The 24626-nt window shown below is 49.2% G+C and overlaps 1 protein-coding gene across 12 annotated transcripts in view, besides 3 other annotated features; it reads left to right on the forward strand.

The window, feature by feature from the left end:
- GLT1D1 (glycosyltransferase 1 domain containing 1) overlaps window positions 1–24626 on the forward strand; it is a 131491-nt gene that overhangs the window by 96800 nt on the left and 10065 nt on the right. For 11 of the 12 annotated variants that reach the window (NR_159493.1, NR_133646.2, NM_001366889.1 and 8 more), the window contains one exon: window positions 7268–7366. Coding sequence is in view for 9 of the 12 variants with exons in the window: in NM_001366889.1 (NP_001353818.1) it covers window positions 7268–7366 (99 nt within the window). In the remaining 3 variants the exon portion in view is untranslated. Of the gene's footprint in view, window positions 1–4774; window positions 4866–7267; window positions 7367–24626 lie in introns of those variants that run through there. The other variant, XR_001748588.2, reaches the window with a different exon arrangement.
- Window positions 6351–7550: an enhancer, noted in NCBI's record as "BRD4-independent group 4 enhancer chr12:129441173-129442372 (GRCh37/hg19 assembly coordinates)". NCBI's record gives its function as "activates an origin of replication core promoter dependent on BRD2, P300/CBP, MED14 and CDK7 cofactors, and independent of BRD4, by STARR-seq in HCT116 cells {active_cell/tissue: HCT116}" and the evidence as "EXISTENCE:reporter gene assay evidence [ECO:0000049][PMID:35650434]".
- Window positions 21445–21946: an enhancer, noted in NCBI's record as "H3K4me1 hESC enhancer chr12:129456267-129456768 (GRCh37/hg19 assembly coordinates)". NCBI's record gives its function as "activates a minimal SCP1, AML or CMV promoter by ChIP-STARR-seq in primed H9 embryonic stem cells {active_cell/tissue: H9 hESC(primed)}" and the evidence as "EXISTENCE:reporter gene assay evidence [ECO:0000049][PMID:30033119]".
- Window positions 21947–22446: an enhancer, noted in NCBI's record as "H3K4me1 hESC enhancer chr12:129456769-129457268 (GRCh37/hg19 assembly coordinates)". NCBI's record gives its function as "activates a minimal SCP1, AML or CMV promoter by ChIP-STARR-seq in primed H9 embryonic stem cells {active_cell/tissue: H9 hESC(primed)}" and the evidence as "EXISTENCE:reporter gene assay evidence [ECO:0000049][PMID:30033119]".

Genomic DNA, 24626 nt, shown 5'->3' on the forward strand with positions numbered 1-24626 from the left:
ACACTTATTCCATGATTGAACACTTCAGCTATCTGAATTGATTCTAATCAATTCATTGCATCAGAGTTGTACCCAAATGCCATTGGCACCCTCATTGAGAATCACCGTAACCCCAATTATGTAAGATCCGAATGTGCTGTGGGCACGTGTAGCCCAACTCCATCGCCACATGACAAGCAATGCTTGTTTGACTTGACAGACGCTTAGTAAAAACCATTAAAATGCAAGCCGACCTCTCTGCAAGAAAATCTAGACATGGTGGTTTCCAGCCCCAGGTATACACCAGAATGACCTTGAAGCTTAAAAAACCATAAATACAGGTGATGGTGCCCCCCCCTCACAGATCAGCTTCACTTGTTTTGGGGAGGGGCCTGGCTGCTGAGTGTCTTATGACTGTTCTGCAGGGTAGAACAGAGGCACTGTCTCTGTAAACCTTTATCAGCTCTGCTGAAAATGGCATCCTAGCCACAAAGGCTTTTACAAAGAGTCTCAAATGAAGTTTCCTTCTGCCTGCTAAGAGCTTGGAGAGCTCATCTGGGGTAAATAAGAAATCAAGTGAGTTCTCATAGGAGCAGAGAGTAGAATGGTGTGTAGCAGAGACTGGGAGTGTGGGGAGTGGGGAGATGTTGGTTGAAGGACCTGAACTTCCAATTAGGAGGAATAAGTTCAAAAGATCTGTATTGCACGTCATGGCGACTACAGTTAATAACGATATCCTTGAAAATTGCTAAGAGTAGATCTTAAGTGTTCTCACCACACAAAACAAGTATGAAGTAATGCATATGTTAATTAGCTTGCTTTAGCCATCCCACGGGGTAGATGTGTATCGAAACATCATGTTGTGGCCGGGCGCGGTGGCTCACGTCTATAATCCCAGCACTTTGGGAGGCTGAGGTGGGTGGATCACCTGAGGTCAGGAGTTCGAGACCAGCCTGGCCAACATGATGAAACCCTGTCTCTACTAAAAATACAAAAATGAGCCAGGTGTGATGACGTGCACCTGTAATCCCAGCTACTAGGGTGGCAGAGGCAGGAGAATTGCTGGAACCTGGTAGGCGAAGGTTGCAGTAAACTGAGATCACACCACTGTACTCCAGCCTGGGTGACAGAGCGAGACTCCATCTCAAACAAAACAAAAGAAAACAAAAACACATCATGTTGTACACTGTAAATGTAGGCAATTTTTGCTTGCCAGTTTTTTTGTTTGTTTGTTTGTTTTTCTAATCAAGTGAGTTCAAACACAAAGGTGTCAGGTGCATCTTGGATCCTGACATTTCACTTGTCTTAGTCCCAGAGTGGGGTGCCTGACGCTGGCTCTGAACCGCTTTCCGTCCCAAGCCTGTGAGTCATGCACGGTGCCCTCCTGTGGACTCATGGGGCATGTTCTGAGGTCGAGCACACTCACCTCTGTGCACTGTCCGCCCAGGCACCGCCCGTCTCCCTCAGGACCAGCTGCACAACGTCATCATCGTCCAGGAGTTCTTCTCTCCTTAAGACGTTTCCTTTGTTAAAGGTACATTTTGTTGGTTTTCCGAGAGTTGACTTCGGAACTAGTTTTCTGTAAATGTGAAACCCTCAGATTACACTGAAGTCTCTTCGCCCTCTGTTCATTTCACGTCGTGAGTGGGTTGTGTTGCATCTTTTCTGCTGAACTGCGGTTTTCCTTGGAGGCAGGGCCGTGCCCGCCATGGTGTGGAATCCTCCCCTGCGTCTCCCCGTGCACTGTGGACCATCAAATGGGATGAGTGAGTTCATGCCTTCTGTCATTCAGCAGAAATGTGTAGAGTGCCAGGTCTGCCAGGCCCTGGAGATGCCGCAGCGGACAGACGCTAAAGGGCCTTGTTATCATGGAAGCCGTGTCCTTGTGAGGGACGGAAAGAAGGACTGGGAGATGGGCAGGAAGCAGGCAAATGGAAGAGTGAACAGAGAACTTTAGGACGTAGTAAGTGCTGAGGAGGAAGCGCAGCAGCACGACGTGACAGTGGGTGGCGGGGATGTGCTCAGGGAGGCTCCATGCTGTCATGGGCTGAACTGTGGCCCCTCCCCAAATGCCTGTGTTGAAGTCCTCACCCCTGGCGTCTCAGAATGGGAACGTATTTGGAGATAGAGGTAATCAAGTTAGAATGAGGTCCCTGGGCAGGGGTGTAGGGTGGGGGTGGGGGGGGGTGGGGCTGAAAAGGGAAATTTCTTTCTTTTTTTTTTTTTTTGAGATGAAGTTTCGCTCTTGTTGCCCAGGCTGAAGGGCAATAGCCGATCTCGGCTCACCCCAACCTCCACCTCCCAGGTTCAAGTGATTCTCCTGCCTCAGTCTCCCAGGTAACTGGGATGACAGGCCTGCGCCACCACGCTTGGCTAATTTTGTATTTTTTTTTTTTTTAGTAGAGATGGGGTTTCTCCATGTTGGTCAGTCTGGTCTTGAACTCCCGACTTCAGGTGAGCCGCCTGCCTCGGCCTCCCAAAGTTCTGGGATTACAGGTGTGAGCCACCGTGACTGGCTTTTTTTTTTTTTTTTTTTTTTTTTGACGTACTCTTGCTCTGTCACCCAGGCTGGAGTGCAGTGGCACATTCTTGGCTCACTGAAGCTTCCACCTCCCCGGTTCAAGTGATTCTTGTGCCTTAGCCTCCCGAGTAGCTGGAACCACAGGCATGCACCACCATGCCCAGCTAATTTTGTTTCTATTTTTAGTAGAGACTGGGTTTCACCATGTTGGCCTAGCTGGTCTTGAACTCCTGGCCTCAAGTGATCCTCCCACCTCAGCCTCACAAAGTGCTGGGATTACAGGCGTGAGCCACCACGCCTGGCCCATGTTGAGCATCTTTTCACGTGCTTATCGCCCCATTTATACCTTCTCTGAAGAACTATCTAGTCAAACCCCTTGCCCACTTTTTCACTGTGTTCTCCTTTTGTTGTTGAGTTGTAAGAGTTCTTTATATATTATAGATACAAATCTCCTATCAGCCTATCAGATATTTATTTCCTAAATATTTCCTCCCATTCTGTAGATTGTCTTTTCACTTTCTTAATGGTTTCCATTGAAGCTCAAAAGTTTTTAATTTTATTTTTATTATTTTATTTTTTTGTAGAAAAAGGAGCTCACAATATTGCCCAAGCTGGCCTCAAACTCCTGGCCTCAAGCAATTTTCCTGCCTCAATCTCCCAAAGTGCTGGAATTATAGGCATGAGCCACTGCACCTCGTTGAAAGTTTTTACTTTTGAGGAAGTCCAATCTTCCTATTTTCTTGTTGTTGCTTGTGTTTTTGATGCCATGTCTAAGAAGGCTTTGCCTAACCCACAGTCTTAAAGACTTAACTTGTGTATTTCTCTCTAAGAATTTTATGGTTTTAATTTGTCCATTATGTCTGTGATCCATTTTGAGTGAATTTTGTGTGTGTGGAGTGAGGAAGGGGCCAGATTCCAAATTCCTTCCTTCTTTGGCCTGTGCGCACTAACAATGACTAAAATAGCTTTTTTTTTTTTTTGTCTCCGAAACAGAGTCTCACTCTGTTGCCCAGGCTGGAGTGCAGTGACGCAATCTCGGCTCACTGCAACCTCCGCCTCCCGGGATCAAGCGATTCTCCTGCCTCAGCCTCCTGAGTAGCTGGTATTGCAGGCACAAGCCACCATGCCTGGCTAATTTTTGTCTTTTTAGTAGAGACGGGCTTTCACCACGTTGGCCAGGCTGGTCTTGAACTCCTGACCTCAGGTGATTTGCCTGCCTTGGCCTCCCAAAGTTCTGGGATTACAGGTGTGAGCCACTGCGCCCAGTCTAATATAGCTTTAATATAATTTTACTTTACTTTATCTCGAGATCTGGTCCTAAGGTCACCTGTTTTTTTTTGTTTTTGTTTTTGTTTTTGTTTTTTGAGATGGAGTCTCACTCTGTCGCCCAGGCTGGAGTGCAATGGCGCGATCTCGGCTCACTGCAAGCTCCACCTCCCAGGTTCGCCATTCTCCTGCCTCAGCCTCCTGAGTAGCTGGGACTACAGGCACCCACCACCACACCCGGCTAATTTTTTTTTTTTTTTGTATTTTTAGTAGAGATGGTGTTTCACCATGTTAGCCAGGATGGTCTCGATCTCCTGACCTTGTGATCCTCCCGCCTCAGCCTCCCAAAGTGCTGGGATTACAGGCGTGAGCCACTGTGCCCAGGCTAATATAGCTTTAATATAATTTTAATTTGCTTTATCTCGAGGTCTGGTTCTAAGGTCACCTGTTTTTCACTTGGGATTTATGGGTGTGGAGTGCGTTCTCAAGACCTGGGACAGGTCACTATGCTCTATAAAACTTACTGAGTCAGGTAGGAAGCCCATCTGCTACTGTAATCTCATTTGCAGTTATAACAATTCCCAGGGACAGATGTAAATTCTGTAGTATTAAGCCATTTAATCTGGACAAGCACGGTAGCTCACACCTGTAATCCCAACAGTTTGGGAGGCCAAGGTGGATGGATTGCTTGATCCCAGGAGTTTCAGATGAGTGTGGAAAACATAGCAAGACCCCATTGCTACAAAACATTTTTAAAAACATTAGCTGAGGATGGTGGCATGTGCCTGTAGTCCCAGCTACTAGAGAGGCTGAGGTGGGAGGATTGCTTGAGCCCAGGAGGTGAATGTTGCAGTGAGCTGAGATTGAGCCACGGCATTCCAGCCCGGGCAACAGAGTGAGACCCTGTCCCCTCTTCCTGGGACCCTGTCCCGTCTTCCCCTGCAAAAAGGTTATTTAATCTTCCCACTACCCTTTTGAAAGAGATTTTATTGTCTCTGTTTACCTCAGGGGAAACAGTCAAACAGCTGGGGAAGGTTGAGATGTTGACCCAAGATGGTACAACTAGTATCTAGTGGAACCAGGATTCACACCCAGGCAGGTCAGTTTCAGAGCTTCCCTTACAAATGTGATTATCTGTTTACTTTTAAAAAGTGTAAAATCTGTAGAAGAACTGAAAGAATGGTACAGCAAATACCTGTGTACCCTTCACCCACGTTCATCCTCCTGCTTCCTCTCCCTCTCCCTCATCTCTCTGTGTACACATACAGTCTCTTTCTCTCTCTTTTCTTTTGCCAAATCATCTGAAAGAAGGTGGTTGAGGTTGATCAAGGCACTGCTAATATTTCTCTCTGAAACTTTGCAGATAGGTGTCTTCTCCTGCACCTGAGAAGACATGAGCATGCCTGAGAAAGTTCAGTGTTAGTTAAATTACATCACTGGATGTGCACTCCATACATAATTCCCTCGGTGTTGTATTTTTTTTTTTTTTCAGGCAGGATCCACACACCATTCATGCATTGCATTTGGCTTTGTGTCTCTTTAGTGTCCCCCAACCCAGCTCCCCATAGCTCTTCATGACACTGAACCCTCTGAAAGGTCCTGGTCAGTTGTCCTTGAGAACATACTGATAGATTTGGCTGACGCATTCCTCAGGGTTGGATTTACATCCTATTTCCAGCTGGGACTCCACGCAGGTGATGTGTACTTCCCACCACGTCAAACGGGAGACACATCTGGTCAGCTCTTCTGACTGTTGGTGACAGATGGCTCCATTGTGAGGGCTCACCTGTCCCTCACCTCTCCTCTGTGATTGATAAGTCATCTGTGGAGTGGTGCTTTGGGATTTGGGGACACAGATGCTCCTCGAGTTATGATGGGACTGCATCCCAATAAACCCATCACAAGTTGAAAATACTGTGAGTTGGCTAACACAGTGAAACCCCATCTCTACTAAAAGTACAAAAAATTAGCCGGGCGTGATGGCGGGCGCCTGTAGTCCCAGCTACTCGGGAGGCTGAGGCAGGAGAATGGCGTGAACCCGAGAGGCGGAGCTTACAGTGAGCCGAGATCGCGCCACTGCCCTCCAGCTTGGGTGACAGAGCGAGACTCCATCTCAAAAAAAAAAAAAAGAGAAAGAGAGAAAGAAAGAAAGAAAATACTGTGAGTTAAAAATGCGTTAAATACCCCTAACCTACCAAGTATCATAGCTCAGCCTAGCTGACCTTAAATATGCTCAAAAGACTTGCATTTGCCTACAGTTGGGCAAAATCATCTAACACGAACCTATTTTATAATAAAGTGTTGAATATCTCACGGAAGATATTATTGGATACTGTACTCAAAGTGAAAACCAGAATGGTTATATTGTTGCTGAAATATGGTTTTTACTGAACATGTATTGCTTTTGCAGCATCATGAAGTCAAAAAATCCTAAGTCGAATCATTATAAGTCAGAGACCATCTGTATCCTGTTTCCCGATGACCTTTTACTCAATGGATTTGATCGGGATCCACTAGGATCAACTGTTCATCCCCGATCCTCACCTGAATCACTTATTACACTGGGGGTTACAAAGTGATGATTTTCTAATTCCGCTCTTCTATCTACACTTATTATATGTGCAGACCCTTCTGCAGAGATGAGCTTTCCCTTTTCTTCCTCCTACTTTTCCTCCTCCTCCTCCTCTTTCCTTTCATTTCCCTCTCATGACTAGGGAATCAGGTATTTTTGAAATTTAGTGTGTTACCATCTGTTACAATCATTATTCTTTTTGAAGTTGCAAAATTGTCCCGCTGTGGTCAGTGGGATCCCCTTGAAGTTGGCTTCTGTTTCCTTTCAACCTGACATCACTGAACTTAGAACACTGTAGAAAGAGAACCCGCAAAATGCCTCCTTTCCGGGCAGGCGAGGCCAGGGCTGCACACTGTGCTGTCAGGCCATCTTCTTGTGGCACAGCTGCTAGGTGCTGCCAGGCTGTGGGGCATCAGGCACATATCTCCAGACCTTCGGAAATGGAAAGTCGGCTTCGTGAATAATCAGAATGATAAATCATTTTCCTTTTACTTTTGTCTGCATGTCAGAGAGCTGAGTTTGGTTTTTGTGGCATTCATACTCCCTTGCCTGTGCTGGAAGGAAATGGCTCCTCAGGGAAAGTGATGATGGTAATTAAAAATGCATGCTCCATGCGGTCGGTCGGTGAAGAGGTGTCAAATGAGCATTCAGAGAGAGGGGGTTCTTTGTGACACTGCAATAATTATGTCAGACAAACGATTACAGCGTATAGTGTTTCAGAGCTTCCAAACATACTAAGTAATTAAAACTCAGATGTATTTTGAAAACATGCTGTTGAGATTGGGATATCGTTTTGGAAAGGCGTATTTTTTGTGAGGTGCCAGAGGTCCAGTTAACCCAAGAAGTTATTCTGCCCCGCCCTGACTCATCTTGCCGCAGAGGCTCTTGAAATGACTGCCTTCCACCCCCTTTTCTCCTGTCTCCTCCAGGCAATGGATTTAGAAGTACCGGTATTGGCCAGGAACATCCCCGGGAATGCTGCCGTGGTGAAGCATGAAGTCACAGGGCTACTGTTTTCCAATCCTCAGGTAAAGAAAAGTTCTTTCCCTCCATTCACTCACCTTATCTGAATAGTTTTCCTCTATGTTTAATGGAGAGATTCTTTCTGTTAGCGCTTAGTATTCCTGTCCTACCCGGAGCCCTGCGGAGAGCATGCTGTCTTCTGTTATCACCTGGGCAGCTGCCTGGGTGTACCACTAGCAGAAGCCTAGGGAACAGGAGCATTGAGTTCCATTCCTGATTCTGTTGCCAAGTTGCTCTAAGGGGCTGGGAAAGATAATCACCTCTGAGATATTCGGATTTCTGATTTCTGAAACGTGCACTCTCAGACACAACCTTGTATTTATGGAACATCTGCTGGCTTTCAAAGGACGGGCGCCTATGCGATCACTTTTCATTCCTTGAAACAAACGCACAAAGTATGCAGGGTTCTTGTGTAAATACAGAAACACGTGTGAATGTCGGGAAATAGAAGAAAGGGCCATGTACCTGTCCATCGGTCCAGCTGGTTATCCAGTAACTTCTGGGGCACACATGTGTGCCATCACCTCCCAGGAGCATGGAAAGGTGTTGCCCAGTGTAGGGGGCCACAGACAGTTCTGGGGATTTGCGGTCCAGGGTTTGCCTGCATCCGACGCCCTGAGTGCCTCCTGCAGAGAGTGACCCTGGCCGAGTCTCCAAGCCCCACTTTCTCTTCTGGATAAGTGGAGCTCATAGTAATACTTGCCTCTTAGAGTTGTGACATGCGCTGAATGAGTTGATGGCAGAGCTTAGAGGTGCACATGAAACATGCTCAGAGCTCAGTAAACACGGATATTATCAAAAGGGAAGGTGTTGGCTGGGTGCAGTGGTTCAGTGGCTCACGCCTGTAATCCCAGCACTTTGGGAGGCTGAGGTGGTAGGATCATTTGAGGTCAGGAGTTTGAGACCAGCCTGGGCAACATGGTGAAACCCCGTCTCTATTAAAAAGACAAAAAAAAAAAAAAAAAAAAGCTGGGAATGGTGCATGCCTGTAATTCCAGCTACTCAGGAGGCCAAGGCAGGATAATCACTTGAACTCGGGAGATGGAGGTTACAATGAACCAAGATCACGCCACTGCACTGTGTATAGGCAACAGAGTGGGACTCTGCCTCAAAAAAAAAAAAAAAAAAAAAAAAAAAAAGGAAGGCATTGTCACTACGTATGCCTCTTGTTAGGCAGTAGTAAATAAAAATCTTTTTTTTTTTTTTTTTTTTTTTATGAGACAGGGTCTCACTGTGTAGCCCAGGCTGCAGTGCAGTGGTGTGATCATGGCTTACTACAGCCTTGACCTCCTGGGCTCAAGCGATCCTCCCACCTCAGCCTCCTAAGTAGCTGGGACTACAGGCATGCACCACCACGCCTGGCTAATTTTGTTTATTTTTTTAGAGACAGGAGCTTGCCTTTTTGCCCAGGCTGGTCTCGAACTCCTGGCCTCAAGCGATCCATCTGCTTGGTCTCCTGAAGTACTGGGATTACAGGCATGAGCACCACCTTCAGCAAAAATTAGCTTCTTAAAAAAATATTAGGTTTTACGCCTAACCATCTTTATTAAAGCACATATGATATTCCAAAATCCAGAAAGTTATGCTTAAAAACTAAAAACTCAAATACTTGAATATTCAGTTTTTAAGATTTCCTACAGCAGATGTTTAATTCAAGTTCAACTTTCCCTTTCTATAGTGTGGTGACGTGTCATGCTTTTCACTGCCTGCTTCTCACAGAGTCGTAAACAAATTCCAGCACAAACAAGATGAAAGCCAGCTTCATGAGGCAGTGGGGGGGGACGGGTGGGGAGGTGGCAGCGGGGTGGGGAACGGCGGGTGGTGGGGGGGCAGCAAGGGAGTGGGGGCTGGCAGGGGGTGGGGGTGGAGATTGCAAGTCGCAAGGTATCAGCAGGTCATGAATAAATGCACTGACCATCCTGGGAAGCGGAGGGAAATAGCAAAGGTGGGACCCAGGAGTTTCTCTGTTATTGTCTACAAAAGGTGTAGGTAGCACTAAAGGCTTCTCTTTTGATAGTAATACCTAAAAACCTAAATAATATCAGAATAGGAAGAGTTTTCAGTAGTTACTTGTTGATTCTCCAAACAAAGGCTTATTGCTTTTTACCATATTCCATGTCTCTCAAAATCAACGCCAGCCAAGCTTCAGGTCAGTGAATATTAATATCCGCTCTGGCAAAGTGTTCTGGGATTTTTTTTTTCCATCTCCCAAAAGGCAACGTCTATTTACTTTATAGCTCAATTTCAGAGGACCAAAGAAAGCACTCCAACTTTATCAGTGAACGTCTGAATAGCAATTCCTTATAAGTGGATCTATTAGGCTGAACAAAAGAATGAGAGCTGTTTGGCTCTTCCAATTTCATACAGCCTCTTGTAAGATACTCCTTTTAATGTCTGCAAATCATTATCGTGCCGCCGATGTATTCAGGTCATTTCTGCGAGTTACCGGCTTCCTGTGAGCCATCAGACACGACTCTGCGGCACTCACGGAGTCTCGTTGCAGACTTATTTTGATTCCAGCGCTTTCGTGTTCATTTCACAAAGGATGTTAAAAAAAATAGAACTCTTCTGGTTTTATGTTGGGGGAGGCTGCGATTCTTAACACACGTTGAAAGAGTGTGCTAGACGTGGATGTCGCACCTGGTTCAGTCTGGTTTGGTTTTCTTTACGGTCTTCTTCCAATTTTACCTAGCATGGGGTAGGAGCTGTTGTTTTAAACAACAACATGCATTTTAAATAAGTCAGGGACTATGGTTCTATGAATCTTGACTAAGAAACTCAGATGAAAGGAACCACTAGTGGGTTGCCAGTGTTGGCAAGATTAATTTTAAATATGAGGCCGGGCACAGTGGCTCGTGCCTGTAATCCCAGTACTTTGGGAAGCTGAGGTGGGTGGATTGCCAGAGGTTAGGAGTTCGAGACAAGCCTGGCAAACATGCAAAACCCTGTCTCTACTAAAAATATGAAAATGAGCCAGGTGTGGTGGTGGGTGCATGTAATCCTGGCTACATGGGAGGGTGAGGCAGGAGAATCACTTGAACCTAGGAGGGGGAGGTTGCAGTGAGCCGAGACTGCACCGAGATTGCACCAGTGCACTCCAGCCTGGGTGACAGAGCTGGGTATCTAAAAAAAAAAATTAAATATATATTTCAATATGCGTTAGAACCAGCATTCCATTTTTTAAGAAGGAATGTCCATGTCAGAGCGTCAGCCTTAGTTATGTACATATATGGAGTATATATTACCATGTATGCTATTCAAATCAATGCTAAATGTGCAGTTAGTAGTTCTGCATTCGCTTTTATTTTCTAATTGAGAATGTAAAGAAACCCGATATAAAAAGATGAAGTTCAACAGGTTAGATTGTATGTTTAATACCCCAGTTACCTATTTTTCAAAACAGAAAACTGATTTTACATACAGTAAAGGATGTGGGTGACTGTTAAAGGGCATTCCCTATTCTTTTCATTTTGTGAATCTTTTATAAAACAGTATTAGTCAGGGTTCCCCAGAGAAACAGAACCAGTAGGAGACAGATATAAATATGTGAGGAGATTATAGCAATTGGCTGACATGATTATGGAAGCCAGGAAGTTCCATCATCTGTTGTCTGCAAGCTGGAGATGCAGGAAAGCCAGTGGTGCAATTCAGTCCGAGGCTAAAAGCCCAAGAATCAGGGTTGTGAATCCAAAAGAAAGGAGGTCAGCATATGGACCTGCACCCCCATGTTTATCAAAGCGCCACTCACAATCACCAAGGTATGGAATCAACCTAAGTGTCCATCAACAGATGAATGCATAAGGAAGATGTGGTACATATGGCCAGTGGAGTACTATTCAGCCATAAAAAAGAAGGAGTCATGTCATTTATGGCAACGTGGTTGGAACTGGAGGTCATTATATTAAGTGAAATACGGTAGGCAAAGAACGATGACTATCGCACATTCTTGGAGTCTGAAAGGCTGAGATTCAGGAGCTTAGATGTCTCTGTGCAGGAGAAGATGGATGTCCCAGCTCAAGAAGCAGGAAGATTCCCCTTTTTGTTCTATTCGGATTGGATGGTGCTGGCCCACATTGCTGAGGGTGCATCTTCCCTCTTCAGTTCACAGATTCAAATGCTAATCTCTTCCAGAAACAGCCTCATAGACACACCCAGAGATAAGGCGTCACCAGCTATCTGGACATCCCTTAGCCCAGGCACACTGACACATAAAATTAACCATCGTAAAGACTAAACCAACAAAAGGAACAGAAATGTGACCTTTTTTTTTGAAACCATAACACTCACTCTGTGAGTCAGGCAGTTTTTCTGGTAACCCGAACTCTGTCCCCCTCTCCCTTCCTGACACTTGTGTCCTACGGTGGCCTTGTGTGTGTGCCCCTGTCCCCCTCCACCCTTCCCAGCACTTGTGTCCTATGGCGGCCCCATGTCTGTGCCCCGTCCCCCTCCACCTCCCGCCACTTGTGTCCTATGGCAGCCCCGTGTGTGTGCCCCTGTCCCCCTCGGCCTCCTGGCACTTGTGTCCTATGGCGGCCCCGTGTGCGTGCTCCAGTGAGGGGTTGAACACGTCATGCCTTCAAGGGCGGAGTGAGCTGCAGTGTATAGTGGGATTGGGGCAGTCAACTGTTCTCCTAGCTGCCTGTTGCAGACCTGCAGGGCTAGCTCTGGGTCTAGACACAATGTCCAGAGTCTTTGAATGAATATTCACATCTCATCTAAGAAGGGACAGGACTAAGATATCAGCAATGGCTATAGCAGTGCATGGATTAGCCTGGGCAGCAGCAATGAGGTCTTTAGGGAAAGACTTCCTGGCAAACAGGTGTGGGCAAGGAATGAGTGGAGGGAGTAGAACACAGTGTGGCCTGTGCTGGGCAGGAGGTTCAAGCTCAGGTGTCTGGAGGGCACCCAGGTATGCAGGGGGTGAGGTGGCCTGGTCAGGTGCAACCCTAGGGACCTTGGGGTCAGACATACAGCCCTTGCTGCTGTTGAAGAGCGGCTGAAAGTCGATTCTTATGTGGGTATTACCGATTTATAAATGCAGACAACTCAGTCAGATTCTAAAATAATTCCTTTTTTTTCTTGAGATTGAGTCTCCCTCTGTTGCCCAGGCTGGAGTGCAGTGATGTGATCTCGGCTTGCTGCAACCTCTGCCTCCCGGGTTCAAGTGATTATCCTGTCTCAGCCTCCCGAGTAGCTGGGACTACAGGTGTGCGCCACCATGCCCTCTAAGTTTTGTATTTTATCAGTAGAGACGGGTTTCACCATATTGGCCAGGCTGGTCTGGAACTCCTGATCTTGTGATCTGCCTGCCTTGGCCTCCCAAAGTGCTGGGATTACAGGCATGAGCCACCGCGCCCAGCCAAAATGATTCTTTTAAACATGATGGGGACCTACTTACACATTCGTGGGGAGATTTGCTGCCAGCCTGTGACCTCTGCTCTGGATCAGGGATACCCCTTTCCGCTGAAAATGAGAACTGTAACTCAGCCGGAGCACACTGTGCACACCAACGACAGTGGGTTACCTGAGGAGGACACATCAAAGGTGACGTCTGGTCCCAGAGTCCAGGCTGCCTCTGGCCATCAGTGTCCTCCTCGCTCCTGACAGAAGAGGTGTCAGCTGTCCCAGGAGGGCCTGCTGTGGGTTTGGGAGTGGAGTGGGGTTGATTCCAGGGTCGTATGGGCCAGAAAATAGAAAGGACTTGATGTGATAAAACAACAGTGGGATGCTGGGCGCAGTGGCTCACACCTGTTATCCCAGCACTTTGGGAGGCCGAGGTGGGTGAATCACTTGAGGTCAGGAGTTCGAGACCATCCTGAGTGACATGGTGAATCCCCATCTCTACTAAAATACAAAAATTAGCCAGGCATAGTGGTGGGCGCCTGTAATCCCAGCTACTTGGGAGGCTGAGGCAGGAGAATTGCTTAAACCCGGGGGGTGGAGGTTGCAGTAAGCTGAGATTACGCCATTGCACTCCAGCCTGGGTGAGAGTGAGACTCCGTCTCAAAACAAAAACAAAAAGGTGTTTTTTTCTCTCTCTACATGAAAATTAACGTGTGCTGGCTCCTATCACGCACAGTCATGTTAGGCAGAGAGCTTTTATGGAGTTCTTACTATGTGCCCAGCACGGAGCCAGGTCCTGAAGGTGAAGGAATGAAACAGAAAGGCTGCAAGGCCCTCGGGAATGCACAGTTGGCTGTGGGTGGTGCGCAGATGGCAGAGCACGGCAGCAGGTAGCATGCCCTCTGCATCATCGGCCCATCATGAGCGACACCTGTCTTAGTCTGTTCCGGCTGCAGTAACAGAATACTATAGACTGGGGGCTTAAGCAACAAACATTTCTCTCTCACAGTCCTAGAGGCTGCAAGTCCAAGATGGGCACCTCATAGACAGCTGTCTTCTCCCTGTGTCCTCATGGTGGAAGGGCCGAGACAGCTCTCTGGGGTCCCTTTTATAAGGACACTAAACTTGGCCAGTTGCGCTGGCTCATGCCTGTAATCCCAGCACTTTGGGAGGCCAGATTGCTTGAGCCCAGGAGTTCAGGGCCAGCCTGGCCAACATGGAGAAACCCTGTCTCTACAAAAAAAGTAAAATATTATCTGGGGGTGGTGACAGATGCCTGTAGTCCCAGCTACTCGAGAGGCTGAGATGGGAGGATCACTTGAGCCTGAGAGGTAGAGGCTGCAAGGGAGCCATGTTGGCGTGGCTGCACTCCAGCCTGGGTGACAGAGTGAGACCCTGTCTCAAAACAACAAAGACACCAATCTTTCCATCCTCATGACCCAGTCACCTCCCAAAGACCTCACCTCCTGCCGTCCCCTTGGGGGTGAGCAGCTCAGTGTATGAATTTGAGGAGACACAAACATTCACCCCACAATATGACCCCTTGTCAAATGTTCACCCTGTGATGGACATGGTTCCCTCTGCTTTACATGGATGGACTCCATGAACTCTCACAACAATTCCAGGACGTCAACACCTTCATAATCACCGTTGGACCTGTGGGAGAACTGAAGCATGGAGAAACCCAGTTAACTAGTTTGTAAGTGTCAGAGCCAGACCTGGAGACTCGTCACCCTGGCATGTTGTGTTATTAGTGTGAAGAGATTGCTAAGGACCACTGGCGAGAAGCCTGCAGGTTTACCTGTGCAGGGTGAGGTTTAAGGAAGGAAGGGACGTTGAGCTGGGCTTCAAAGGACAAGATTCCCCAGGCAGGGAAAGGCATTCACAGTAGAGGGAATCACCTGGGCAAAAGTTTAGGGGCGTGAGAGTGTGCAATGCATTGGAAGAGTTAGGCGTAGTGCAGTGTGAAAGGTGTGAGGGAAGGAATGGCCTAAATGAAAGGGAACTCAGATGTAAGGAGCATGGGACATAGAGGAGTGTGGTGAGCAGAGTTCTGAGATGGCCTGTGGCCTCTGCCTCCTGGTGTTCGGCTGTTATGGTAGGCTACGTGGCAAGAGGGATTTTGCAGATGTGATTAAGGTAACTAATCAGTTGACTTTGAGTTAATCAAAGATATGAACTGTGTGGGCCTGACCTCGTCATCAGAGCCCTTTAAATTTAGATCTAGAGGTCAAGGACAGAAGAATTCAGAGAGACTGGGACCTGTGGAGGGATCCACATGGCAAGGAACTTTGGGCAGCCTCTAGGAGCTGGGGGCGACCCCTGGTTGACAGCCAGTGGGAGAAAGATGGCTTGGGCCCTACAACCACAGAAACTGAATTCTGCCAACAACTGTGTGAGGTTCAAGGAAGACCCCAAGCTCCAGACAGGAGCCCAGCCCAGCCCAAACTTTGATCTCAGGCTCGTGGGATGCTGAGCTGAAAAGTCAGCTCTGCTATGTCTGTGCCTGGACTTTGACTTGCAGAAACCATGAGACAATACATGGATGTCATTCTAAGTCCCAAGTTTGTGGCTATTTGTTATGCAGCAATAGAAAACTAGTCCCAGAGGCTGGGCATGGTGGCTCACACCTGTAATCCTAGCACTTTGGAAGGCTAAGGCAAGCAGATTGCTTGAGCTCAGGAGTTCAAGACCATCCTGGGCAACATGGCAAAGTCTTGTCTCTGCTTAAAAAAAAAAAAAAAAAAAAAAAAAGAAAAAGTAAAAAGCCAGATGTGGTGGCTCATGCCTGTAGTCCCAGCTACTGGGGAGGCTGAGGCGGGAGGACCGCTTTAGCCTGGGTGATGGAAGTTGCCGTGAGCTGAGATCTTGCCACTGCACTCCACCCTGGATAACAGCAAGACCCTGTCTCAAAAATAAAGAAAAAGAGAACTAGCTCCAGGAAGAAGGCAAGGGAAGAGTTTCCAGTGATGCCAATGCAGCTGGCTGCAGAGGAGGAAAGAATGTGTTCACAGTGGCAGAGATGGGACCTCCAAAAAGAGGACTGTTTCAGGTAATTAATGCATCACATTTGAGATGATGGAAGATCATTCAAGGGGATTCATAGGGTCTTACTGGAGAAAACCTTACGTTTCTCTTTCCCCCTGCAACCACTGCATCTTTCTGTATTCAATGAGCGGCTGGGAGTAGGAGTCCCTGGTGCAATTGGAGAGAAGGAGACAGCAGAATGCTCCTGGGAGCCAGGGCTGAGCTGAGAGGGCGTGCATACCAGCCAGCATCCCTGCCTGAAATGCCCCAGGGGTGGCTGGCTGCACTTGGAAGAAAGTCCAAACTTTTTCTGATGGCCACCAAGCTGTCCCTGAGCTAACCACTGCCTACCACTCTGCCTTTGCTGCTCTGCGGCCACGTGGGCATCTCTGCTCCTCCCTCACAGGTAACTTGAGTCCCCAGCCTCTTTTCACCACCCTTCCCTATCTTATTTCATTCCTGGCATGTGTCACGGTGCCACACTGCTTGCTCCCCACACCCTCCTCCCCAACCTCCTCAGACTGTTAGATCCAGGAGAGCAGTTTCTCCAACTGTAAAATGGGGAAGTGAGGCCTCATCTGGGGGGTTTTGTGCTCTTCTGCACGCAGCCCCAGCACTTGGGCAGCACCTGGCACTAAATGTGTGTTGACAGGTGAATGGTGAGCACAGGGTCCCGGGGTGGGGGTGGCAGCTGTTGGCACAAAGATAATGGGAATCTGGAGGGAAGTTTGCTTTAGGGAGCTTATGAGGACAGCCTACTGAACTGAATAAAAAGCCATTTTTAATTTTTTTTTAAAAAATGACGATTAAACATATTCAGCCCTGGTAGGAACAGAATAATCTCTATTTCTATATACCTCACCCCTGGAAAACTTCAATTTAAGCAAAGCTTTCCAAACCTACTAAAGATTGATTTTTTCTTTACCGCCACAATCCTGTTATTTCTCCTTTTAAGAAGTAGAAAAGGGTTGAGCTATTTTCCTAGGTATTTTATTGCTCTGTTTTATAGCTTCGAAATTAAAATCCATTTGACATTTAATAGAAGCTGTGAATCTATACACTGTCCCAGGGTCAGACTTTTAAAGTGTAGCTCAAACCTATTTTGCTTGGAGGTTCTGTTTGTATGGTGCACAGCTATAGAAAAACATAAGTTCTGGAATAATGACATTGACCAGAGCTAGCATTTATCCAGAATGGGCTGGGCTCTGGCCATAGTGTTCTATGTGACTTGCATTTTCACTAAAGATAGCTTATTTTTCTTCAAACGCTAATGGCTTTAATAGTCAGTCAACGGTTTAATGTTTGGGAAATGTGAGGCCCGGTAGAAAACATCAGCCTCCAAACTTTCATTCAGGCAGGGCTGCGCTGAGATCTCAAGTTTTGCTCTTGGAAGCTGAGTGATCCTGGACACCTCTCCTGCCCTCTGCTCGATGCTTCTTCGGGAGAGTGGAGATCATGACCTCTCTTTGGGGAATAGCTGAGGGAGGGCACATGCACTATTGCCTCTCCCTTCCCCTGGAAAAAAACCTGCCAATACTCAACCGCGTTCACAGCTTGCAGCGCTGTGCACTAGGGGAAGCCGTGGAATATGGAAAGCACTTATGTTTAAGTGCTGGGATCAGCCCACAGCAGGATTCCCACCCGGTGCAGAGCACTGAGAACCCAGGGAGAAATTCCCGTCTCACTCTTACTTCGAGTTACGTTCTACTTACGGATTTGGGGAGGCCACTGGCCAACATTATGTAACATATTACTTCTCTCTTATGTTTTAAAAGTGTTTTAACGTAACATCTATAATTCTTGGAAGTTCAACGCATCCAGGATGTGTAAGCACCAGCCCGTGCACAGCACACAGTAGGTCCTCAGCATGAAATCCGAGATGCAGATCCTGCTGCGTTGATTGGATTTCCAGTTAAGCCCAGAGGAAACTCGGGACAAAGCATGTGTGAACTACATTGGAGGTTAATGCAAAACTTATGTGGATTTTGTTTTGCTTTGTTTTTTTTGAGACAGAGTCTCGCTCTGTCGCCCAGGCTGGAGTGCAGTGGCGCAAACTCAGCTCACTGCAAGCTCCGCCTCCCGGTTCACATCATTCTCCTGCCTCAGCCTCCCGAGTAGCTAGGACTGCAGGCGCCTGCCACCACACCTGGCTAATTTTTTGTATTTTCAGTAGAGATGGGGTTTCACAGTGTTAGCCAAGATGGTCTCCATCTCCTGACCTCGTGATCCGCCTGCCTCGGCCTCCCAAAGTGCTGGGATTACAGGCGTGAGCCACTGCGCCCGGTCACTTATGTGGATTTCCAAGTAGTGTGACCTGGTGGCTTATTGTACGATACTGGGAAGCATTTGAGAGTGGACTAATAATAATACAAGGACACCAGGCTGGGCACAGTGGCTCACGCCTGTCATCCCAGCACTTTGGGAGGCTGAGGCAGGTGGATCACTTGAGGTCAGGAGTTCGAGGCCAACATGGCCAAACCCCATCTCTACTAAAAATACAAAAAATCAGCTGAGCAGGGTCGCAGGTGCCTATAATCCTAGCTACTCAGGAGGCTGAGGCATGAGAATCACTTGAACCCGGAGGGTGGGGGTTGCAGTGAGCCGAGATCATGTCACTGCACTCCAGCCTGGGTGACAGTGCGAGACATCGTCTCAATAATAATAATACTAGGACAACAGATGTAAACCTCACCCGAGCAGCATAGGGACAGCCTGCCTGGGGGTTGTGATTGGGTGCCTGGGCTGGTGTATTGTTAGGGACACAGATTCTCCAGTGAGCTAGAGAGGGTGGGTCCCTTGCCTCGGGCCACTTGGGTGGGGTGAAGAGCTGGGTGAGGACTGGGTCTGACTGCAGAGCCTGAGCTCGGGCAGCGCCAGGAGCACAAATGGCCCTGCTCTCCCCCTTCCCTGCTGCTGCCGTGGCAACTCCTCCTCACTCGGCCCCGTCTTTCCTGCTGTGCCTCCCTTTTTCTCTCCCTCTGCCTCTGTCTCGTCATCTCCTTGTCTGTCTCTGTAGCTCCTCTCTCCCTCTGTCTTTTTCTGTCTCTCATAGTCACTCTCTCAGTCTCTGTAGCCCTCGTCCTCCTCTCTGTCTGTGTCTCTCTCTGTCTCTGTTTCTGTAGCCTTCCTCCCTCTCAGTCTCTGTTTCTCTGATTGTCTCTTCCTCTGTCTCTGTTTCTGTAGCCTTCCTTCCTCTCAGTCTCTGTTTCTCTCATTGTCTCTTCCTCTGTCTCTGTTTCTACCTCTATCTCAGTCTCTAGCTCTCTCTCTCACTCTCTCTCTCTCTCCCTGTCTCCCTCCCTCCCCTCCTCTCCTGTTTTACACCTAACCCTTTTCTAAAGTGGTTCTTCTCACCCTGATTCTCTCTGTATTCTTGGGGAGAAGGGACCATTTCTGAGCCCCACCCTGGGTGTAGATGCCCCTGGATGCAGCCAGAGGTGGGAAGAGAAGCCCCTGGCTGACTGTGCAGCCCCTAGGGCAGGTTTGCCCCGAGCTGGGTGTGCACCGAGCTGAGTGTGCACTGAGCTGCTGCGCGGCAAGCAGGGCCAGGACGCGGGTGAGCCACAAGGTGGGGCTCACTGCTCAGGCACAGAGGCTGGGCCATCACCAAGGTGCGGAGGCACTCGGGGCTCCTCCTGGCCGCCTCACTCCTGACCAAGCAGGGAGCATCCTGCTTGCATCGCGTCTGGAATTCTCTGAAAATACAGAGAGGGAAGAGGCAGAGAGAGAAGAGCTTCCTTCCCGCTGTGAGCTCAGTCCCCACCTCTGAGAACAGGAGGAGGCATCTCTGCGTCATCCTGACACTTGGCTCTCCACCATCTCCTGGGCCCTCGCGTGGGTGCACCTGTTGCTCTGCAAAGCCTGCTGGGCACCTGCCAGGAGTGTGAGCCCGCAGGCTCCAGCTGGGGACTGTGATTAGGGGAGGGGCCAGGCATGGAGAGACCCTCCCCTCCCCCTGCCTCTGCCTGTGTGCGCTTCCTGGAGGCCTCCTGGTGATCTGTGTCAGCCCTGACAAATGCAGTCCCCAGTCAGCGGGGTGCTTGCCTCACATCAAAACAACGCTGCTGTAGGAATCAGCTCCGAAGGCCGTTTCTGGGGTATCCTGGAATTCAGAAGGAAGAGGATGGTGACATGTTGGCACTGGTAGAAGCCGGGCCAGGGTCTGTGGAGGACCCCGGTGGGCTGCAGCCTTAGGGGTAATGCTGCAGGGGAAGGCCTGCTTGGAGCCTCAGCCCCTGCCTGTTGCAGGTGCGTGCACAAGCAGCTGGGCACACCGTCCTGGGTCCTGGGCTCCCAAGCCCGCCGCGCCCTCTCCCCTGAGCCCCACTTCCCATCTGTCCCACTTCTCCTGAGCTCTGTCTGCAAACGCAGCTGGACCCCATCTCCACTGCACTCCCGGACCGAGGGGCTGTAGGGTCTTGCCTGGGCTGTTCCAGCAGCCTCCTCCTTCCAGCCCGCCCACTCCCTCCCCGCAGCCACAGGCACCAAGTCAAAGTCCGCTTCTATCCACTGCAGCTGAGGACCCTCTGGTGGCTTCCCCTTTGCACCTAGAAGAAAATGCCACTGCTGGCCTGGCTTCTGAGGCCTTGCACAGCTTGCGCTGCCCCCTCCTCGTTCCAGGCTTCTCTGTCCGGCACCTGAGCTTTGCTCACCCTCTGTCTCTAACCGAGCTGCGCCCACGGCTGGCACCTCCTCAAATGTTTCTTGGTTGAAATCACCTTGGAAGGACTTTTCGTGGCCACCCACTGTGACTGGGGTTCCCATTTGGGTTTCCTCTGTCCCCGCACCTGTGTCTGTGTACACTGCACTCTTTGCCATCTATAAACACCAGTCCCCAGCCTGGAAGCTTCCCGAGGGCAGCAGTCAGGCATGTTTACTCATCAGCTGTCCCTCGCAGGGACTCTGATATGGACTGGGTGCTCAGTGAGTACTGGAAGGGATGATTATGCCCCGGCGTACAAGGCGCAACCCTTCCAGAGGGCGTGTTTTTTTATTTTCATCTGATAGTGAGCGATGCAGCACGCCACACACTTGTACTTTAACTGCTCTCATTTCTTTTTCTTTTCAAAGTCGCAGATGACAGCAGTCATCCCGCCCAATCATTGGCACCTGTCGGATTTTGTCCCCATGCCTAGCAAGTAGTCTCTGACAGTTTCATGCCAGTCACAGGTTCTGGTGCTGAGTGCCACGCGGCAAAACGACAGGATCGCCTACTCCTGCCTGGGTGCTTAGATCCCATGTAAATGCTTTTGGCTTAGAAATTGTCTTTCTTTTGCCCTCCCTTCCTCCCTCCCTCCTTCCTTCCTTCATCTCCCTCCTTTCTTCCTCCCTCCTTTTCTTCATCTGTTCTTTGCTCCCATTTTCTTTGATTTCTTCTCCCTCCCTCCTTCCTTTCTCCCTTCTTCCCTCCTCCCTTCCTCTCCTCCTCCCTCCCTTCCTCTCTCCCTCCATCCCTCCCTCTGCCTCCCTCCCTCCCTCTCTCTACCTCCCTCCCTCTCTCCCTTCCTCTCTCCTTCTGTCCCTTTCTCTCTCCTTCTCTCTCTTCCTGTCTTTCTCCCTCCCTCCCTACCTCCCTCCCTTCTTCCCTCCTTTCCTCTCTCCCTTCCCCCCTCCCTCCTCCCTTCCCCCCTCCCTCCTCCCTTCCCCCCTCCCTCCTCCCTTCCCCCCTCCCTCCTCCCTTCCCCCCTCCCTCCTCCCTTCCCCCCTCCCTCCTCCCTTCCCCCCTCCATCCTCCCTTCCCCCCTCCCTCCTCCCTTCCCCCCTCCCTTCCTCCCTCCCTCCTCCCTTCCTCCCTTCTTTGCTCCCTCCCTTCCTCCCTTCTTTGCTCCCTCCCTTCCTCTCTCCCTTCCCCCCTCCCTCCTCCCTCCCTCCTCTCTCCCTTTCTGTGCGCCATTGACCTCATCGTTCCGCATTAGTGAGCTCAGCCTTCTTTTGAGTTTTGCCGGGAGAATCCATTGTTTGCACTTTATACGGGAGAATGGTCTCTGTGGTTTTCCCTGACTCTCTGTCGCACACGTCAAGGCTCCCTCTCCAGGGTCGCTGCCACATGTCTGAATGAGCAAGCTGTCCCTTGGGGATCTTGGGCTGCAGCGGAACTGGGCTGCATGCGGGGCAAAGCCATGAGACGACCAGGGTGCCAACAGGAAGTGGCAGCTGCTCTAATGGGCCCCATCACTTCAGGAGGGCAGCATTGGGAGACATTATTTCTCGCTCTTCTGGAGGCCAGAGCTGGTTGTTTTGGTCTGTGACCACCGCCCATGCGGTCACTCAGAGCCCAGGCTCCTTCCATGGCCTGGCTCCAGCTCCACGTGTAGGTAGCTGCGGGAGAGAGAAGACAGGGTCCACCATGGGAGGTATGTGTGACTTGGGCTGGAGGGAGCACACGCCCCTCTCTGCTCATGCTCCCTTGGCTGGAACCCAGTTACATCACACCTGCTGCTAGGGAGGCTGGGAATTGTGGCCCGGGAAGAACCGGGGAGCAACTGTGTGACTGGGTGCTCCTCCTTTCACCCCAAAGACTGAGGCTAACATGTTCTGGGAGGAAAAAAACACAGAAAACAAGACCCATCATAAGGAAGATGGCTAGCATCTGTTGAATGCTTGCTCTGCAGATACAAATGTGGATTATCTCGTTTAACCTGCACAATGACAAATGTGCTCTTATCAGCCCCATTTCCTAGATGAGCAAACTAGGCACAGAGGAGTTAACTTCCTCAAGGCCCAGAACCTGGTAAAAGGTGCAGCTGAGGTTCATACTCTGCTTTCCAGCTTTATTAAGGTCTGCTTGACAAATTTAAAGATTGTATACATGTATGGTGTATCACTTAGTGTTTCGCTGTGTGCATCCATTGTGCAATGATGAAATCGAGCTAATTAACATTTCCATCCCCACACATACCTTTTCTTTGTAATGAGAATATTTAAGATCCACTGACTTAGCAACTTTCAAGTATACTAGAGTCACCAGGCTGCCCCATAGGTCTCCAGAATGTGACCCTCCTAACTGAAACTTCGGAACCATTGACCAGTGTTTCCTTATTTCCTCTCCTGCAGCCTGCCAGCCCCTGGTAACCAACCTCCTACTCTGTTTCTATGAACTTGACTTTTTAAGAATCCACATATAGGTAAAATTATGAAGTATTTGTCTTTTCTGTTTTGTTTGTTTGCTTGGTTTTTTTTTTTTTTTTTTTTTTTTTTTGAGACTCGCTCTGTTGCCCGGGCTGGAGTCCAGTGACACGATATTGGCTCATTGTAACCTCCGCCTCCTGGGTTCAAGCAATTCTCCTGCCTCAGCCTCCCCAGTAGCTGGGATTACAGGCATGTGCCACCACACCTGGCTATTTTTTTTTTTTTTTTTGTATTTTTGTAGAGACGGGGTTTCACTGTGTTGGCCAGGCTGGTCTTGAACTCCTGACCTCAAGTGATCCACCCACCTCGGCCTCCCAGAGTGTTGGGATGACAAGCGTGAGCCACCACCCCAGCCTGCTTGTGTTTCTTTCCTCTCCCCCAGGCATAACCAGAACGAATGGCAGATTTACCGCCGCACTTTAATGGGCTGCTCTTTCCCTCCAACTTCCTCCTGCTCTAACCCGCCAAGCCGTCACACAAGCCCAGAGGAAGGTCTCCCGGTCCCCCTCTTCCCTCCCTTTTCTGCCTCTCACCTTCTTCTTTCCTTCAAGATGCCCACCTTCTCCCCACCAACCCCCAAAGCACACCAGAGCAGCAGAAGCACCTTTCAGCCAGCCGGGTGTGTGTTGAAATGGCTAGTGTTCTACTCGGCCCATCGTCTGGAAAGTGAGCGAATGAGAAGCACAGAAAATATTCCTGAAGTTGTTTTTAGCTTCATCGGTGGCTCCCAGGTTTCCCGTGTGTGTGTGTAGGGGGTGTGTGTGTAGGGGGTGTGTGTAGGGGGTGTGTGTGTGTGTGTAGGGTGTGTGTGTGTGGGGGGGGCGCTTGGTGATCTGTGCTCCACACCACATGCAGCAGCGGTGCTCAGAGGGGGACAGTCTGGGTCTAGATGCCTTTTCTGCCACTCAGTGATGTGTTAACCTCAGGCAGGTTCCCAGGTGACCTGGGCTCCCATCTCTTGATCTGTGCGTGTGGAGGGGGAGAGGGCGCATAGGAATAGTCCAAATTCCTAGTTCCTTTTCTGCAATTTCAAAATCCAAAAAGCGCTTGGAAAACATGCAGTCGGGACCCACCTGCCAGCTCTGTGCGTTTTTACTAGCAGGTACCTGGCTGATGGCCGGAGTCCTTGTTCACACGGACATCTACGGACCCACCCGGCTCACAGATGGCAAGGGCTCTTGCTCCCTCCTACCCCAGCCACAGCAATGCCTTTGAGCCACACTAACCCTGCATCGTGCATTTCATGAGCCACAGAGCCCCGGGAATGGCAGGAATAAAACACAGGTTCTCCGACGGTCAGTGACCCTGCTGTTAGCTACCCAGGTCTTGCACTGTTTTCCCTCCTCAAATAACAGCTGTCCTTTGACCAGCACAATCGACCTCTGCTGTGCAAACGCCAGAAGGGAAAGAGGAGTTTTACTGTCTCACCATCCATAAGACCACTCTTTTTCGTGAGTTTGGTGCCAAAACTCCTGTCTGAACTGATGTGAAGTCACCTAGGGCTGTTTGTCCTGCGTCACGGGACTATTCATACATTTTGATTAAGAAACACTGATCTGTTGTTGATGGGCATGGCCTTAGACCTCGCTGGAGATGATATGTAATAGAAGGCTATAGCAGCTGAATTACTAAAATCCCCCAGGTCCTGAATTCTGAAGCCTCATTCCGTGTACGTTTTTGAGCACTGGATGCATGTTGGCTGCTGTTGTTAATTTCTGGCTGGATCCTGACCTCCACTGGAGGCCCTTGGCCAGAGGCCAGCTCTCT

Source organism: Homo sapiens, chromosome 12 (genome assembly GCF_000001405.40).
Source record: "Homo sapiens chromosome 12, GRCh38.p14 Primary Assembly".
NCBI classification, from domain to species: Eukaryota; Metazoa; Chordata; class Mammalia; order Primates; family Hominidae; genus Homo; species Homo sapiens.